Source organism: Homo sapiens, chromosome 3, assembly GCF_000001405.40.
Source record: "Homo sapiens chromosome 3, GRCh38.p14 Primary Assembly".
In the NCBI taxonomy this organism is placed as follows: Eukaryota; Metazoa; Chordata; class Mammalia; order Primates; family Hominidae; genus Homo; species Homo sapiens.
The window spans coordinates 183,788,425-183,806,722 of record NC_000003.12 but is presented as its reverse complement, the minus strand read 5'-3'; the positions used below and the strand labels follow the sequence as shown (position 1 = coordinate 183,806,722).

General features: G+C 44.4%; 1 protein-coding gene across 23 annotated transcripts in view; it reads right to left on the bottom strand.

Annotated features, from left to right (window-relative positions):
- The window catches only part of YEATS2 (YEATS domain containing 2), a 114,828-nt gene that overhangs the window by 5,902 nt on the left and 90,628 nt on the right, over positions 1-18,298 (bottom strand). For 14 of the 23 annotated variants that reach the window (XM_047448527.1, XM_047448528.1, NM_001351370.2 and 11 more), the window contains 7 exons: positions 15,743-15,926; positions 8,672-8,800; positions 7,734-7,832; positions 6,155-6,257; positions 5,195-5,268; positions 3,388-3,467; positions 2,535-2,736 (listed from right to left, as the gene is read on the bottom strand). In XM_047448527.1, the coding sequence (XP_047304483.1) occupies positions 2,535-2,736; positions 3,388-3,467; positions 5,195-5,268; positions 6,155-6,257; positions 7,734-7,832; positions 8,672-8,800; positions 15,743-15,926 (871 nt within the window). Of the gene's footprint in view, positions 1-2,534; positions 2,737-3,387; positions 3,468-5,194; positions 5,269-6,154; positions 6,258-7,733; positions 7,833-8,671; positions 8,801-13,232; positions 13,608-15,742; positions 15,927-18,298 lie in introns of those variants that run through there. The other 9 variants (XM_011512966.2, NM_001351371.2, XM_047448542.1 and 6 more) reach the window with 2 other exon arrangements.

Below are 18,298 nucleotides of genomic sequence, written 5' to 3'. Positions count from 1 at the left end.
ATAATGATGAGAACTAGTAATTCACGAGGGAGAAAGGCATAAACACAGGCATCTTGTGTGTGATCTATGTAAGGTAACTGCCATCTAAGATGAAAGAGTAGGAATTCTCACTTCTGCCACCAAAAACCAGGTCATCCCCCTCCCTCTGAGTATTAAGGACTGACCTGATTTTTCCTCATCTCAAATCTGGAAAATTTAGAAATGCAGAGTGAAGAAAATAAAAAGAATCACCCCTATTCTCACTGCTCAGAGAGCAGGACTGTTAACATTTCAATGTATATTATGGGTCCAGTCTCTAATAAGGTGATTTATACAAAACCTAATCAGGAGTGTGAGGACCTCAAGGCCAGATCTAGGGCACTAGTGCCCTTCCACTTTCTGGATGAGTGTGTGAGGTCCACACCAGGTACAAGATTTAAGGGCACCCAGCTCCTGGCCTTTTGTTTTACTGACTGGGCTCTAACAAGCTCCAGCTGCTCCTCAAGTTATGATGGCTGGGGCTATATCCTGAAAAACCCATCGTAAGTTGAAAATATCATTTTTGACTTAGGATATTTTCAACTTACGATGGCCTTATCTGGACAAGGCCATCGTAAGTCAAGGTATGTGCTGATGCCTACAGCTTTCAGACCATTGTAAAGTCACAACATCAAATCACAGGTCAAACCATTGTAGGTTAGGGGCCGTTTGGAATCAGTCAGATTAAAAGGAAGCCTAGTATGTGCAAGTACTGTGCTTTCCACACAATGTCAGTGAAGCCCGGGGATCATTAACACGGTCTCTGCTCTCCGAGTAGCTTACACAGCGAAGTCAGACAAGCCCTCATGCTGTTGATATTAAGCGCTGCAGGAGATGAGAGAAAGGAGAGGCCATCCTGCATTAGGCTCTCAAGAAGCTTAATGGCAAAACTGGGACTTGCCCCCCCTTTTTTTTTTGGACAGGGTTTTGCGCTGTCACCCAAGCTGGAGAGGAGTGGCATGATTACAGCTCGCTGCAGCCTCAACTTCTTGGGCTCAAGCAATCCTCCCTCCTCAGCTTCCCGAATAGGTGGGACTACAGGCATGCACCACCATGCCCGGCTAATTTTTGCATTTTTTGTAGAGGCAAGGTTTCACCGTGTTGTCCAGGCTGGTCTTGAACTCTTGGGCTCAAACAATCCTCCTGCCTCAGCCTCCCAAAGTGGGAGGCCACTGAGCCCGGCCCTAAGTCTTAAAGTAACCCCACCTCTGTGCTCCAGGTTTCCTTGGACAGGAGGGGTGGAGCTTCTGTTTTTCTATATAAATGGGGCTGGGGGCAGAGAACAACTTTTCTTTTTATTTTATTGAGACAGGGCCTGGCTCTGTTGCCCAGGCTGGAGTGCAGTGGTGTGCTCATGGCTTACTGCAGCCTCAACCTCCCGGGCTCAAGTGATCCCTCTCACCTTAGTCACCCAAGTAGCTGGGACTACAGGCGAGCTACCACACCCGGGTAATTTTTGTAATTTTTGTAGCGACAAGGTCCTGCTATGTTGCCCTGGCTGGTCTCAAACTCCTAGGGGCTCAAGTGATCCTCCTGCCTTGACTCCCAAAGTGCTGGGATTACGGGCATGAGCCACTACGCCCGGCCCAACCCTTCTTATTCTTTGAGGTGAAACTCAAAATGCTTCTTCTGCCTATATACCTTTAATCCCTTGCTCCTACACCCCATGGCCCTGCAGCAGTGGTCTGTTTTTTTTGTGTGTGTGGTTTTTTTTTTGAGACGGAGTCTTGCTCTGTTGCCCAGGCTGGAGTGCACTGGTGCAATCTCGGCTCACTGCAAGCTCCGCCTCCCTGGTTCAAGCAGTTCTCCTGCCTCAGCCTCCCAAGTAGCTGGGACCACAGGCGTGCGGCCACCACGCCCAGCTAATTTTTTTGTTTTTTTAGTAGAGATGGGGTTTCAGTGTGTTAGCCAAGATGGTCTTGAACTCCTGACCTCATGATCCACCCGCCTCGGCCTCCCAAAGTGCTGGGATTACAGGCGTGAGCCACGGCGCCCGGCCCAGTGGTCTGTTTTTTTATCGTGAAACAATTCATTTCACCTGCAACATTACTAGTTTTCACAAGTGCCTCCCGCACTGGGTGGCGTCCTCCGAGCTGGGTTTGGAGATAAAGTAACAGATGAGACACAGGCCTCATCTTCACAGAAGTAGCACAAACTTGTCTGGGGCATGGGGGGTGTCCCTAAGGTCACAAAAGATGTGAAAGCCGCTTCAATCTGCAGGAAAGGAGATGGATTAGGAGTCTTCAAAGAAGAAATGATGCTGAGCAGGGACTCCTGAGTGGACAGTGTGTGCCTGCTGCATGGCACAGGCCGGAACATGTGTGGCTGGGGCACAACACTTGAGATACCTGGCTACAAACAGCAACATGGGGACTGCACGGTCCCACGAAGGACACGGCAGGAGGTAGGAAAGGCTCTCGTTCTCTACAGCAACTCTTCCAAGTCCTCATCTCTCTCTACCTCAGCAAATGCCTCCAGGCTGCCAGGCGCTCTGGGCAGTGCCACTGAAGGCTTACCGGGCTCGCTGTCGATCTGGGTCAGCACGTCCTCGATGGAGTCCCCGTCATTCCTCAGGCTCTCAGGGTCCGGTGGGGTGTAGCCATGACAGCGGCACCAGTGAGCGATGTGCTTGGTTTTGAGGGGAGTCAGGTGGTGAAATCTCGGATTCTTCTCCAGGATTTCTTGTAAGACTTTTCGCATTGTCATTGCTCTTTGCCACTTAAAAAAAAAATTTTCTTTTGGAACCATAATCAAATCCTTCCACTTAACACAACTACGTATCATGCAACCATAAATCACCATCCTAACCTAACCTGTTAGAATTTTTTTTTTTAAAGAAAAAAACCTGGTTGTGTTACTCCCCATTAAAAAAAAAAGTCGAACTTCCCTAATGCTAATACAATAAAACAGCAACTCCTAGGTTTGGCCTTTAAGGATCTTCACCTGGTCTCCACCTGCGCTCTCCCACTCCCCTCCTACCCCAGCTTTCCCTAAACTCACCACAGCACCTTCCCACTGTAAGGATCTTCACCTGGTCTCCACCTGCGCTCTCCCACTCCCCTCCTACCCCAGCTTTCCCTAAACTCACCACAGCACCTTCCCACTGTAAGGACTCAATACTCGAGTTCATTTAAAACTCTGAAACTCAGAAAAAAATTTAGAAACTGTGAGGGATGTTTCTGCCAGTGCAGGAAAAGAAGGCACGCCTGAAAGTCAGCTGGATACAGGTCTTTGAAAAATGAGATTTTTTTTAACTGAGGAAAATATTCTGCCATCAAATATTTCAACCAAATATGCTGCAATCTTATCCCTGTTCCATAAGACAAGGTTTCTGGAGGCAGCCAGAGTGGACAGGCAGATGTGGGTTACCTCAGCGGCTCTCCTTTTTCCAATGTTCCAGCCATAGTACTGCTCCACAGACTTTGCAGAAAAGCAGCTGGCATCTTCACCTAGAATGCACACACCCAGCAAAGCCTGAATAAAGCTCTTACGATTCCAACCACACGTCATTTGCTGGAGGCAAGCCAGTCACTTCTTCAGACCTCTTTATCGCATGTATGTTCCTTACTGGGCAAGCTCAGATGCAGCCTAACACAGGAGGGCGTCTCCTCAGAAGAGAAGGTGTCTTGCCGTGTGTACTCAAAGCAACACACCTTCCTGGGCACTTTGCTTCTTTGGTAGAGAAGGTAATCACTGCCATAGACTATTAAAGTCTGTGGAACTGGTGCTCCACTAGGAGCCCTGGACCCGCCATTAACTCACAAGGTGGTTGTGGTAGATGGTGTCTCACTTTGTCACCCAGGCTGGAGTGCGGTGATGTGATCTCAGCTCACTGCAACCTCTGCCTCCCAGGTTCAAGCGATTCTCCTGCCTCAGCCTCCCGAGGAGCTGGGACTACAGGCAGGCACCACCATGCCTGGCTAATTTTTGTATTTTTAGTAGAGATGGGGTTTCACCATGTTGACCAGGCAGGTCTCAAAGTCCTGACCTCAGGTGATCTGCCTGCCTCAACCTCCCAAAGTGCTGGGATTACAGGCGTGAGCCACCAAGCCCAGCTCGGTTTTCTCATCTATAAACTGAGAAAGCTGGGAAGATGGTTTCTGAACTACCTTCCAGCTCTTACATTCTGTATTTTTAAGGAGAGAGAAAAATATGTGTGTGTGTATATACACGTGTATATATATATACATGTATACACACACACACACACACACACATATATAAGAGAGATTTTTTTGTTTGAATTTCTTATGTTAGGCTGGGAAACTGTCACCAAAAGTTTACTCTGAGAGACATCAAAATGATCCCCCAAACTTTACCCTACAGAAAGAGATTACTGCTTTGCTATTACAGTTGGAAAAAATAAGTAGGTGGTCTGTACCTGGTGTATGTGTTCAGAGCCCTACAAATCTGAGTGGCGTGGAGGTTGCCTTGTGGCTCCCCTCTGAGTGTGCATGGTGGTCTTGCCCATGAGCATGCTCCTGTGTCCGTAGGCTGCTGGCCCCTCAGCAAGGGCTATTGATTCTGTCAAAACAACTGGGGCTAAGCAGCAATTTACTCAATCTAGCTAATGATGGGCAGTGACGCAGCACGTCACTTTGGGAGGTCTTAAAAACTGCATTTCTACACTGTGCAATACTGAGTTTCAGAGGAAAGATGAATGGTCTTAGAGTCAAACAGAACCAGGTTTGTATCCTGTTTCACCACCCGTGGCTCTGTGATCTCGAGCAAGTTATTCAACCCTGCTTATCCTCAGTTTCCTCATCTGTAAGTGGAGATGACACCAGCTATCACACAGGAGGCTGGGATTATATGAGACAGTGAACGTACCCAACCTGCACAGGACCTGGTACACTGCAGGCAAACGCTAAATGCTTTCCTCACTCATAAACACCAAATGCTAATACAGAGTTTTAACTGCATACAAAACAATCTATGATTTACATATGAAAAATGTAAAACATTCCTTCTACAGATCAACACAGTGAAAACAATAAAAAACTAACTGGATGTGAATTCTAAAACCCTTGCAAATGGGCTGTATCTCTAGCTGAAACCTTATAAGGTAACCGCCATATCAATATTAATTTACAATCCCAAGTGATTTCAGTTGACTCAATACCTTAAGTTCACAGCTTTCAAAAATGCACCCCTATATTCAGTGTAATTGTCTTACTTTTTGCAGTGATTAATGGAATCTTCTTTACTACTGCAGTTAGGAGTTGCTGGATAGTTTCTAAATGGTCTATCCTGAGAGAGATAAAAAAAAATTAAGGCAATAAATTAAATACATGTAGCAGTTTCTATAGCCATATATATGCCATGTACTTAATGGATATATTCCGTTCTGAGGGAATTATAATTAAAACCATCATATTAGCATGTCTTTCCTTCCACAGATTACCTTCTTTGTAAAGGAGGGGTGTTCTATGCTTAAAAAGAAAATGTCAAGACTAAGATCCCAGGAATGGAAGATTATGCACATATTACAGACATTTAATCTACACCTTAAAATTCAATAGCAATATAATCTTTTTGCAATGTGACTGCTACTAGGGGAGAAAAATTCTGTATACCCATCTTAGGGTTATTACAGTTCACGCCTCCATCTACCATGTTAGAGTGGCTAAGTTTCTATTGTCCCCAGCAGTCTGAGATACTTAAAAGTAGCTGGTCAGAAGTGGCTTCCTGATTTAGAAATTAGGAAACCTCAGGAAGCATTTTTAGAAGCAGCAAAGAGTGTATATAGCCCATGAAGAGGCAGCTAAGATGAGGCAGGTGTGTGGACACCCAGTCACAAAGCGTGTACACACCTGAGTGATGGCAACAGGAGAAATTTTGTGCCTACGGGCTCAGCAGAGAAAGCCCATGTTGGCAACTTCAACTGAAGGGAGGTCTAATCCCACCTGAGGCTTCTAAGGCTACAAATCAAGTGCCACCTCTAGTCACATCACTGTATAAAATGATGACCCTCAGCTGTGCATCAAGTGGTAACACTTGTCCACTGCACGGGGACAGACAGTTCCTCCCGTCAAGGGCTTAGAGCTACACACACACAACTCTGCACATACTCAGCTGTCACAGGCGTGACAAACACCCGAAGCGGAATTCCTTTAGGAAAGATTGGAAGAATTACTTAATGACATAGTTTCCCAGCTCAGAACTTTCTTCTGTTTTCACTGCTGTCTGACCCTCCTGAGAGAGGCAACTCGGTCCAGGTGTTTCTGGTTCAGTCTTCACTACAAGGGAAGAGCAACAAAGAGGCAGCTGTTAGGGGTCAGTGGTGGAAGGACACGTGCAGGCACAAACAAAGCTCTTACAGTGAAGCTCAGTAAGGAAACTGCCACTCCAGCTGTTGTGGGGACACAGCCAGGGGACTGAGATGGCTCCTATCATCCCAGGGTCATCAGACAAGGGAAGAACTGTTAGCCTGGGTCTCAGGACAACTCCAGCCTCATGACAGGGCGGCTGCAATAAAGTGGCTCCTTAGATATTTCTTAAAGGGCCACCCACACTGCTATGTAAGATTCCTCACTCCCCTCCCCACACATGTGATTTAACAATGCTACTCTGGGCCGGGCGCGGTGGCTCACGCCTGTAATCCCAGCACTTTGGGAGGCCGAGGTGGGCGGATCACGAGGTCAGGAGATCAAGACCATCCTGGCTAACATGGTGAAACCCCATCTCTACTAAAAATACAAAAAATTAGCCGGGCGTGGTGGCGGGCGCCTGTAGTCCCAGCTACTCAGGAGGCTGAGGCAGGAGAATGGCGTGAACCTGGGAGGCAGAGGTTGCATTGAGCCGAGACTGTGCCACTGCACTCCAGCCTGGGTGACAGAGTGAGACTCCATCTCAAAACAAAAAAAAAAAAAGAAAAAAAAAAAAAACAATGCTACTCTAAAGTACAATGCTGGTTTGTTCTACGTTCTAATACTGGGACCGTTTCAATATCATCTCTCCAGCTAGTTTATCAACTTTCAGCATTATCTTAGTGTTCTGAGACACAAGGCAGAAAGCAAAAATCAGATCCCCTATGCTTGGACACTGGTGTTATCAATGTCACACGTGTTGCTCTAATCCACCGTGCTATCCTGATCTACTCTTGTGGGCAGGCATGTCTCCCACTGACAGCTCGCCAAAGTCTGGCCCCTACCTAAACCTCCTTTACCATGAGTATACTCCCCAAATGAGTCCCTCTAACTGGCTAGCCACTTCCCCAAAGGGGAAGCTGAGTCTGTCTCTCCTGTGCCCTTAATCTGGCCTACCCCTTGACTCCCCACAGCTAAAAAACCTCTACTCTTTTAAAGTCCAGGTTATAATCCATACTCAGTACAAAGTCTTGCCCTTCTCCACACCCCGTCAACCCTGATCAGACATCCCAAGCTGCAATATTTCAGCAATCATTTCCCTGGCCAAATGTCTTGTGTTTATCAATGATTGCTTGCTATCTACAGCAATTGTTTTCAACCTGATTATAAATTACTGAAGGGCAGAAATGATCCTTTATACATCTCTGTGTTTCCCTCAATGTTAAGTCTACCATATGAGCATTTAGGACATATTTGCCAAGTGACTGATTCACAAATGCTGAAAATTCAAAAGATTCAGATTATGGTAATGTCCCGCATAAAGCTTCTGGACATCAGGAGAGAACGTGAACGACAATAAAAAAGTAACAAAACTTCTGGACGAGAACTCTGTGAGATCCTACGTACCTTTTGCAACAGCTGCTGGAGCAGAGCTGGGGACAACTGGAGTTGGGGCAGCTACAGGCAGAATGGCAGGTGGCTTGCTGGTAGAAAATGACTGAACCACTAAAGGGAAAAAAGGAGGGAGGGATATAACAAATACAAAAATTATTTTTAATGAGGGTGATCTACTTCCAGGTGACAACCCCACATTAGACTAACAGCACAAAGGCAACTTGAGGACAACAGGAATTGCAAAGTCCCTTTTTAATAGTGGGCGATTATTAGGTATGAGGGTAACTGAGATGTATCTTCAACTGTAGAAACGGGAGCCTGTCACTAAACTAAGAAAATAACAATCCAGGCCAGGGGCAGTGGCTCACACCTGTAATCCCAGCACTTTGGGGGACTGAGGCGGGTGGATCACCTGAGGTCAGGAGTTCGAGACCAGCCTGGGCAACATGGTGAAACCCCATCTTTACTAAAAATACGAAAATTAGCCAGGCGTGGTGGCACGCGCCTGTAGTCCCAGCTACTCGGGAGGCTGAGGCATGCGAATCGCTTGAACCCAGGAGGTGGAGGTTGCAGTGAGCCGAGATCTTGCCACTGCACTCCAGCTCTGGTGACAGAGCAAAACTCTGTCTCAAAAGAAAAGGAAAGGAAAACAACAATCCAATTAATGTAAATTCTTATAAACACTTAAAATGTTCCCCCTCAACTCAACTTTAGATAAGGGCAGCTGTTTAGAAGCCAACGAACATTTGGGTTTTGAGTCCTGGCATTGGTGCCCTAGCATTCAAGGCGCTGGGAATACCATGACAGCTGAAGGGTGGCTGTACACAGGCGCTGGGAATACCGTGACAGCTGAAGGGTGGCTGTACACAGGCAGAGCAGTCACCACCTGGTAAATGCGGGGAGATGTGGAGGCAGCCACAGCACAGACGACCCGTGGGCAAGGGACTCACCTTTATTCACAGGCATCAGGATCGTCTGCACCCCTCCAGATGTGTTTACGCTGAGTGGTTTGAGCTGGCTGGGAATCGTCAGGACGGCCTGCTGCGGACTGGACTGACTGGAGTGAATCTTTAACAGTCCTAGAACAAATTGGAAGATAAAGCCAAGTTGAAGGTCAGGTGCTTCGGGAAAGTCTCTTATCCTCTGTGCTACCCATATTTTGTCATGGAGGAAGTTCCCAGGACATTTAACCTTCCAGTAAACAAAGAGCAAGAAGCAGGAGACAACAGATGCTGTGGATTTCACAATAAAACATCGGCATGACAATAATTGTTTATTTACTTTTTGAGATGGAGTCTCGCTCTGTCGCCCAGGCTGACGCGATCTCGGCTTAGTGCAACCTCTGCCTCCCAGGTTCAAGCGATTTTCTTGCCTCGGCCTCCCAAAGTGCTGGGATTACAGACATGAGCCACCATGCCTGGTCCCTATTTATTTATTTATTTATTTATTTATTTATTGTGTTAGAGACAGGCTGTTGCCCAGGTTGAAAAGCGCAGTGGTACAATCATAGCTCATTGTAACCTTGAACTCCTGGGCTCAAGTGATCCTCCTGTCTCAGCTTCCAGAGTGGCTGGTACTACAGGCATACCATGACACACAGCTAATTTTTAATTTGTTTTTGTAGAGATGGGGGTCTCGCTTTGTTGCCCAGGCTGGTCTTGAAACTCCTGGCCTCGAGCGATCCTCCCACCATGGCCTCCCAAAGCACTGGGCTTTTTTTTTTTTTTTTTTTCAGAGTTGGATCTCGCTCTGTCACCCAGGCTGGAGTGCAATGGCTCCATCTCAGCTCACTGCAACATCCATCTCCCAGGTTCAAGCGATTCTCCTGCCTAGGCCTCCCAAGTAGCTGGGATTACAGGCGCATGCCACCATGCCCAGCTAATTTTTGTATTTTTAGTAGAGACAGTGTTTCGCCATGTTGGCCAGGCTGGTCTCGAACTCCCAACCTCAAGTGATCCACTCACCTAGGCCTCCCAAAGTGCTGGGATTACAGGCGTGAGCTACCGCGCCTGGCCAGCACTGGGATTATAGATGTGAACCACTGTGCCTGCCCGTAATGATTAAGTATCCTCGTCCCACAACCATGAAGTAACACATTTTTGCTAGTAAAAAGGATAAAAAGTCACCCAAAGTCCTACCGCAGAGAAAATCAATACTAATGTTTTCAGATAGTACTCTTCCATGTTTGTTTTCTATGACAATTTATTTATTTTGCACATAGCTCTTCTGTGTACAAAATTTTGGATTTTGTACATAGCTCTGGATATAAAATTCCGTGTTTTGATGTGAAACACTGTCATTCTCCTACTTAAAAACCTATGCTGGCTCCTGACTGCCTAAAACGTATTTCCAAAATTAGCTTCAAGCATTCAGGGTCCATTTTAATCTGGTGCCAATGTATGCGCATCTCTTTCCCACTGTCCCTACATATCTAGTATGTGCATCTGTCTACACACCACACCTCATCGTTTCCTACCTCTGTGCAGCAGCCTTTGTTTTTCAAACATCAGATGTTCTCTATCGTTTTAGAAAGGATCACCTTCTCTCATTTTATCTTAAAGGTGATTTCTATATTCCCATTTCCACGTAAAACTGTTCTAGGCATTCAGAGGGCCATTTAAAAAATCAAAAAGGGCCTTTAGTGTGAAGGAGCATACAAGGCACAAACAATACAAACACATTTTAAGAAATACTTAAAAACAGTGGTCGGGTGCGGTGGCTCACGCCTGTAATCCCAGCACTTTGGGAGGCTGAGGCAGGTGGATCACCTGCGGTCAGGAGTTCGAGACCAGCCTGGCCAACATGGTGAAACCCTGTCTCTACTAAAAATACAAAAAAAAAAAAAAAAAAAAATAGCCGGGCATGGTGGCAGGTGCCTGTAATTCAAGCTACTTGGGAGGCTGAGGCAGGAAAATCACTTGAACTCGGGAGGCGGAGGTTTCAGTAGGCCGAGATCACGCCATTGCACTCCAGCCTGGGCAACGAGAGCGGAACTCCGTCTCAAAAAAAAAAAAAAAAAAACCCAGCATCAAGAGCTAAAGATACTTTAAGGCACCGGAAAGCAGCTGGTCTGAGCTAAGGAAAGGAATAATCTTAAATACTTTCTAGAGCAAGGCCTTAAATAAACAAAATCTTTCTTTGGAATAGAAGAGTGTTAAATCATCAGGTAGTAATACTTCCAGAGACAGGATCTTGAGGAGTTTAACAATGATCTGAAGTTCCCGTATTTTTATGCATGCTCATCAGCTGACAAGTTAGAAAGTACTAAAAGGCTTATAACTAAATATAGCCAACCCCATTCCACCTCCCTATTTTCATCTAGTTCCCTACTGGTAGCCACTTTAATCCCTGTCGGTTCTTTTTATTAATGTTTATCTCAGTATATGTAAAAGAATGTGTAGGGCCAAGTGCAGCAGCTTACACCTGTAACCCCAGCACTTTGGGAGGCCAAGAAGGGAGGACTGGTTGAGGCCAGGAGTTTGAGACCAGCCTCGGCAACAAAGCAAGACCCCGTCTCTAAAAAAAAAAAAAAAAAAAAAAAAAAAATTAGTCCCGTGTGGTGGCATGCCCCTGTAGTACCAGCCATTAGGGAGGCTGAAGTGGGAGGACAGCCTGATCCCAGGAGTTCAAAGGCTACAATGAGCTATGATCATGCCCCTGCACTCCAGCCTGGGTAACAGAGCAAGACTCTGCTCTAAAAATGAAATAAAAATAATTTAAAAAGGAATGTATATGTTGTAGGCCTTGATTCATCAATTTTTAATTTTACCTACTGATTTACTATTAGGGTAGATGGTTTATTCTTTTTTTCTTTTTCTTTTTTTTTTTTTGAGACAGTGTCTTGCTCTTTCACCCAGGCTGGAGTGCAGTGATGCGAGCAATCATGGCTCACTGCAACCTCGACCTCCCAGGGTCAAGTAATCCTCCCATCTCAGCCTCCCAAGTAGCTGGGACTACAGGCACAACTACCATGCCCAGCTAATTTTTTTTTTTTTTAAGAAATGGGGTCTTGTCACATTGCCCAGGCTTGTCTCAAACTCCCAAGCTCAAGCAATCTGCCTGCGTTGGCCTCCCAAACTGCTGGAATTACAGTCGTGAGCCACTGCACCCAGCCCCTAGATGGGGTCTTCAGTGGCTTCCCCCAGAGTCAAAGTCAAATCTAGCCCTAGATGGGGCCCAGAAAAGGGTATAAATGCCTTAAAAAGTGCCCCCTTTACGGCACTTATATACCCTTTCTTCCCTATACAGATGTTCCCTTACAATGGTTGACTTTGGAGTTTTTGACTTTGGCATGGTATGAAAGCAACAGGCACTCAGTAGAAACTGTACCTCTCTCGTGATGCTGGGCAGTGGCAGCAAGCCACAGCCCTCAGCCGGTCACGCATTTTTAACACTTAGAATATTTTCACCTTACAACAGCTGACTGGGACATAACCCCATCCCATATTTTAGGAATGTCTTTGGAGAGGGTACACAGGAAATACATTTCAAACTTTGTCAGAAATAGTTCTACCCTCACTCTGTAATGATCTCCTTGACTAGAGAATTCTAGACTGAAAGTAATGTTCTTGCATTTTGAAAAGCAGCAGTATGCTAGCTTCTAGCACTGCCACTGAGAAGCTCAATGATAATGTAATTTCTGAAATTTTCCATTTCTTTACACTGTGCCTTTTGAAAGTAGCAGTTCATGCCCTTCACTTCTGGGAAAAATCCTTGTCTGGCCAGAGTTCCCTGATACATCATCAAATTTTCTTTCTTAGTGTCTACTTCCTGGTCCATTCCCTGCTTCCACCTTGTGCCCCAGAAATTACTGTCAATACTGCACCAATGACCCTGTTAAAAGGTAAGGCAGATCATATTCCACCTTAGCTTAAAACCCTCCAGTGGCTTCCCCCAGAGTCAAAGTTCCAACACCCCACACAGCCCCTGCGTGCTCTGACAGAATCTCCTTATGCTCTCTCCGTTGCTCACGCAGCTTCTGTCCCAATGAGACCTTAAGTTTAATGCAGTTTACGATGCACACAAAAAACTTAATTGAAAAACTGCTGGTTTTAAGTAGGAAATAGTTTGATCCTGTTATGAAAATGTGGGCTGGGTGCGGTGGCTCACGCCTGTAATCCTAGCACTTTGGGAGTCCGAGGCGGGCGGATCACCTGAGGTTGGGAGTTTGAGACCAGCCTGGTCAACATGGTGAAACCCCATCTCTACTAAAAATACAAGAATTAGTGGGACGTGGTGGCACACGCCTATAATCCCAGCTACTCAAGAGGCTGAGGCAGGAGAATCGCTGGAACTCGGGAGGCAGAGGTCGCAGTGAGCCAAGATTGTTCCACTGCACTCCAGACTGGGCGACAAGAACAAAATTCCATCTCAAAAAAAAAAAAAAAAAAAAGAAAGAAAGAAAATGTGATACAGAAAGTTCCATCAGCAGCATCTTAGGAAACTAGAACTTACAGCAGGGAGACTTCATCTATTGCATGCCAAAAACATGATCAGAAAACAGACAAGGTATTCATTATTATAATAATTCCTTTTATTTCTACAATTTCTACTCCAGTATCCAACACAGGGCCTCAAATAAAACAGTTAGTAGAGAACAAGTACTCCCTATACTAGAAGTTGGTCAATTTTAACAGGGAGGTAGAAATCAAGAGAAAAATATAATCAGCCTTAATTTTTTGTTCTCTATCCAAACAAGACACAAGGGGCCTGGTGTGGAGCTACATATGAATGAAGTAATAATAGTAATGACAACAACAACATCCACAGCCTCTTATCCAAAGGCAGTAAGGGGTGTTGTCTGCATGCGTGAGTGTGTGTGTGTATCTCGGTGATATTCAGTTTTTCCGGTAGACCAGTGCCAGCCGTATGCTGGCTGGTATCAATCTGCAACAAGATAATACAGTATTTAGAAACTTTAACAGTTCGATAGTGCTGCGACATTTTTATTATATTTTACAGAAGTATCTGTCTATACCAGATTATAGAAAAACAAAAACAAAACTGAACTTTCAAGTTTGAGAAGCAAAGCCATATATTATATTAGCTTCCTGGCAGCTGAGACAGTATGATGTAATCAAATACATCAATATTCTATGGCAAAACACACAAATATTCACATTAAGTAATACAAACAGGCTGTCAATGGAGGTCAAATTGTGCCCTAAAATTAGTTATAAAAAATAAAATCTCTGGCTGGGCATGGTGGCTCATGCCTGTAATCCCAGCACTTTGGGAGGCCAAGGTAGGCGGATCACCTGAGGTCAGGAGTTCAAGACCAGCCTGGCCAACATGGTAAAAACCTGTCTCTACAAAAATTAGCCAGGCATGAGGGCGGGTGCCTGTAATCCCAGCTAGTCGGGAAGCTGAGGCAGGAGAATCGCTTGAACCCGGGAAGCAGAGGTTGCAGTGAGCCGAGATCATGCCACTGCACTCCAGCGTGGGCGACAGGGCAAGACTCCATCAAAAAAATAATAATAATACAGTACAATACAATATAATCTTGCAGCCATAAAAAAGAATGAGTTCATGTCCTTTGCAGGGACATGGATGAAGCTGGAAGCCATCATTCTCATCAGCAAACGAACACAGGAACAGAAAACCACACACCGCATGTTCTCACTCATAAGTGGGAACTGAACAATGAGAACACATCGACACAGGGAGGGGAACATCACACACCGTGGCCTGTTGGGGGGTGCGGGGCAAGGGAAGGGAGAGCATTAGGACAAATACCTAATGCATGTGGGGCTTAAAACCTAGATGATGGGTTGACAGGTGCAGCAAACCACCATGGCACATGTATACTTAGGTAACGAACCTGGACGTTCTACACATGTATCCTAGAACTTAAAGTAAAATTTAAAAAAATAAAATCTTCGGTTTTCACAGCTTTTGGGATTTTAGAATTGCAGATAAAGGATTATGGACTAACAACAAAAATGATCACACATGATAATGGCAGTGGCAATTGTTTATATAATGGCCACTACACACCAGACAGTATTCTAAGCACTGATATATTACAAACTCATTTAAACCTCTCAACCTTATGAAGTAGGTATTATTATCAATCTCATTTACAGCTGAGAAACTGAAGCAAATCACTTCAACTAAGGCAATGTGGTCTCAGGATGTGTGCTCTCTGTTACTCAGAAACAAAAGGTACACTTTTCTGAGGCCCTCTAGTGCAGGCACAAAGACACCATAGCTCTTACTGGATCTCCAGCCTATCACTCTAACACTAGCCAAGATAATAACTAATGTTAAAAATTATGACTTGGAGTCAACAAGGCTAAGATATATTTTATATACTTTATAAAAGCAAAGAAAGGTATACATTTTATAGTGAATTCTATTCGACACTGATTATAGGAAAAAAGAAATTAGTACTTTAAGGAAAGCAAACTCTTGGCTCTCCCCAAAATTACGTTATAAAAAAAGCTAAAATACCCAGTAGGGTTCTGCGTGGCTAAGGGTTTATTATATCATTCAAAAATTCAAATAGTAACTTTCAAATGATAATTTAAAGTCTCAGACAAAATCTGATACGTAGATTTTAAACAAAAATAATTCATCTAAAAAGCAACTGTTCAGAAAATGCTGCTGGGTTAATTACTTTTAACAATTTACCATACAAAATATTGCTTAAGACCCTCCAAAAAAATAGCTGGGCACAGTGGCTCACGCCTGTAATCCCAGCACTTTGGGAGGCTGAGGTGGGTGGACTGCTTGACCTGAGGAGTTCAACACCAGCCTGGGCAACGTGGTGAAACCCCATCTCTACCAAAAACACAAAAAATTAGCTGGGTGTGGTGACATGTGCCTGTGGTCCCTGATAATCAAGAGGCTGAGGTGGGAGGATGGCTTGAGCCTGGAAGGCAGAGGTTGCAGTGAGTCGAGATTGTGATATTGCACTCTAGCTTGGGCGACAGAGTGAGACGCTATCTCAAACAAACAAACAAAAATATTCCAGCCCAATGAGAGAAAAGAGAGAGAAATAATATCACAATGCAACTCACCGGATACTGTGGCTTTCCCAGAGATGGGGTTTGGTGTAGGCACGAGGGACGTGGCGCTGACGACGGTGGGGGTGGCAGCCTTGCAGGTTCCCACGGTGGCCTGGCTCACACACACTTGCTGCTGCCCAGAAGTTTTCGTTACAGAACTGACCGTAGATGAAGACACGGGAGCCATTCCTTCAGACTGCTCACCCATGGGGTCCGAAACAACACAGTTCAGGAAGAAAGCAGAGTGATGACTGACGGCGGTGACGGCCACACAGCACACACACTAAATATCATCTATTAGGTGTTAATGACTACTTAGTAAATGCCATACCATTTAAAAAAGATTACTTCTCTAGTTCAGTGGTTACTATACCTTTACATTTCATGGACCAAGAAAATTTAAAAAATTTAAAACAAGGAAGTATCATGGGGGTCATCATATTTTTAAAATTCACCACCTATTATATCCCTTTATAAAAGGCAACTTCATCACCAAAAAACTAGGAGGACATATTCTCAGAATATACACATGGACTAAAAATGAGCTTTATTAAGAACACATGACAATGATTCACTTCATTGAACAAACATCTACAGTCTGTCACTTCATTGAACAAACATCTACTACATGGCCGGCATAATGGTTAAGTGCTAAGGCTCTGAGAGAAAAGCGACCAAGGAAACAGTCACCTAAGTATAATGATGCTACGGCAAGCACAGGCAAATGTCACCAACACAACCAAGAAGAAAGGCACTGCTTCTGCCTAGGAATAGAAACAGGAGGGTACAGGAAAAAGCTTCAGGTAAAACATTAGGCACTTTAGAGGAATCTTCCAGATTTAAGACAGAGAAAGGGAGAGATGACAGTGTTTCCTGGCAGAGGAGAGTATGTAGAAAGTTGGTGAGGCATGAAAGAACATTGTATGTTCAAGAAGCTGCAAAGCAGAGTGGTGTCACCTGTGAAGAGGCACGGGGAAGCAGCAGCTGCAGGAGATGAAGCTTGAGAAGTCAAGCCACATCATTCAAGTCTGTGGGCTTCCAAGACGATTGAGAGATGGTTTTTCAACAAATGTTTCTAGGCCAACTGGATATTTACATAAAAAAGAATAAAGTTTGGTGTCTACCTCACACCACGTACAAAAATTAACTAGAGCGGCCAGGTGCAGTGGCTCATGCCTATAATCCCAGCACTTTGGGAGGCCAAAGCGGGTGGATCACGAGGTCAGGAGAGCAAGACCCTCCTGGCTAACATGGTGAAACCCCATCTCTACTAATACAAAAAAAAAAAAATTAGCTGGGCGTGGTGGTGGGTGCCTGTAATCTCAGCTACTCAGGAGGCTGAGGCAGGAGAATCACTTGAATCCAGGAGGTGGAGGTTGCAGTGAGCCGAGATCGCGCCACTGCACTCCAGCTTGGGTGACAGAGCGAGACTCTGTCTCAAAAAAAAAAAAAAAAAAAAAAAAAAAATTAACTCGAATGAATCTGAAACCTAAATATAAGAGCTAAATGTATAAAACTTAGAAGAAAACAAAGGCTTGAATTTTGTGGCTTTGGATTAGGCAATGGTTTCTCAGATGTGACATCAAAAGAAAAAGCAATGAAAGAAAAATAGGTAAGTTGGGACTTTAATAAAGACTTGTGCTGGGAAAACTGGATATCTTTATGCAGAAGAATGAAACTAGACCCCTAGCTCTCACCATGCAATCAAAATGGATTAAAGAGTTAAATCTAAGACATCAAACTACGAAACTACTACAAGAAAACATTAGGGAAACTCTCCAGGACATCGGTTTGGGCAAAGATTTCCTGAGTAGTACCTCAAAAGCACAGGCAACCAAAACAAAAATGTATAAATGGGATCACATCAAGTTAAAAAGCTTCTGCACAGCAAAGAAAACAATCAACAAAGAGACAGCCCACAGAATGGGAGGAAATACTGGCAAACTACATATACATCTGACAAGGGATTAATAATCAGAATATAGAAGCTCAAACAACTCTATAGAAAAAAGCCAAACAATCTCATTTGAAAATGGGCAAAAGATCTCAACACACATTTCTCAAAAGAAGACACATAAATGGCCCAAGGGGCATATAAAAAAATGCTCAACATCATTAATTGTGAGAGAAACACAAATCAAAACTACAATGAGAAAGCATCCCACCCAGTTAAAATGACTCTCATCCAAAAGGCTGGCGAGGATGTGAAGAGGGAACCCTCGTACACTGCTGGTGGGAATCTAAGTTAGTACAATCACGATAGAGAACAGTACAGAGGGTCCTCAAAAAACTGAAAATAGAACTACCATATGATCCACATCCCACTGCTAGGTATATACCCAAAACAAAGGAAATGAGTATATGAGGAGACGTCTGCACTTCCATGTTTATTACGGCACTATTCACAATAGCCAAGATTTGGAATCAACCTAAGTGTCCATCACCAGGTGAACGATAAAGAAAATGTGGTACATATACACAATACAATATTATTCCGTTATAAGAAAGAATGAAATCCTGTCATTTGCAACATGGATAGAACTGGAGGACATTATGTTAAGTGAAATA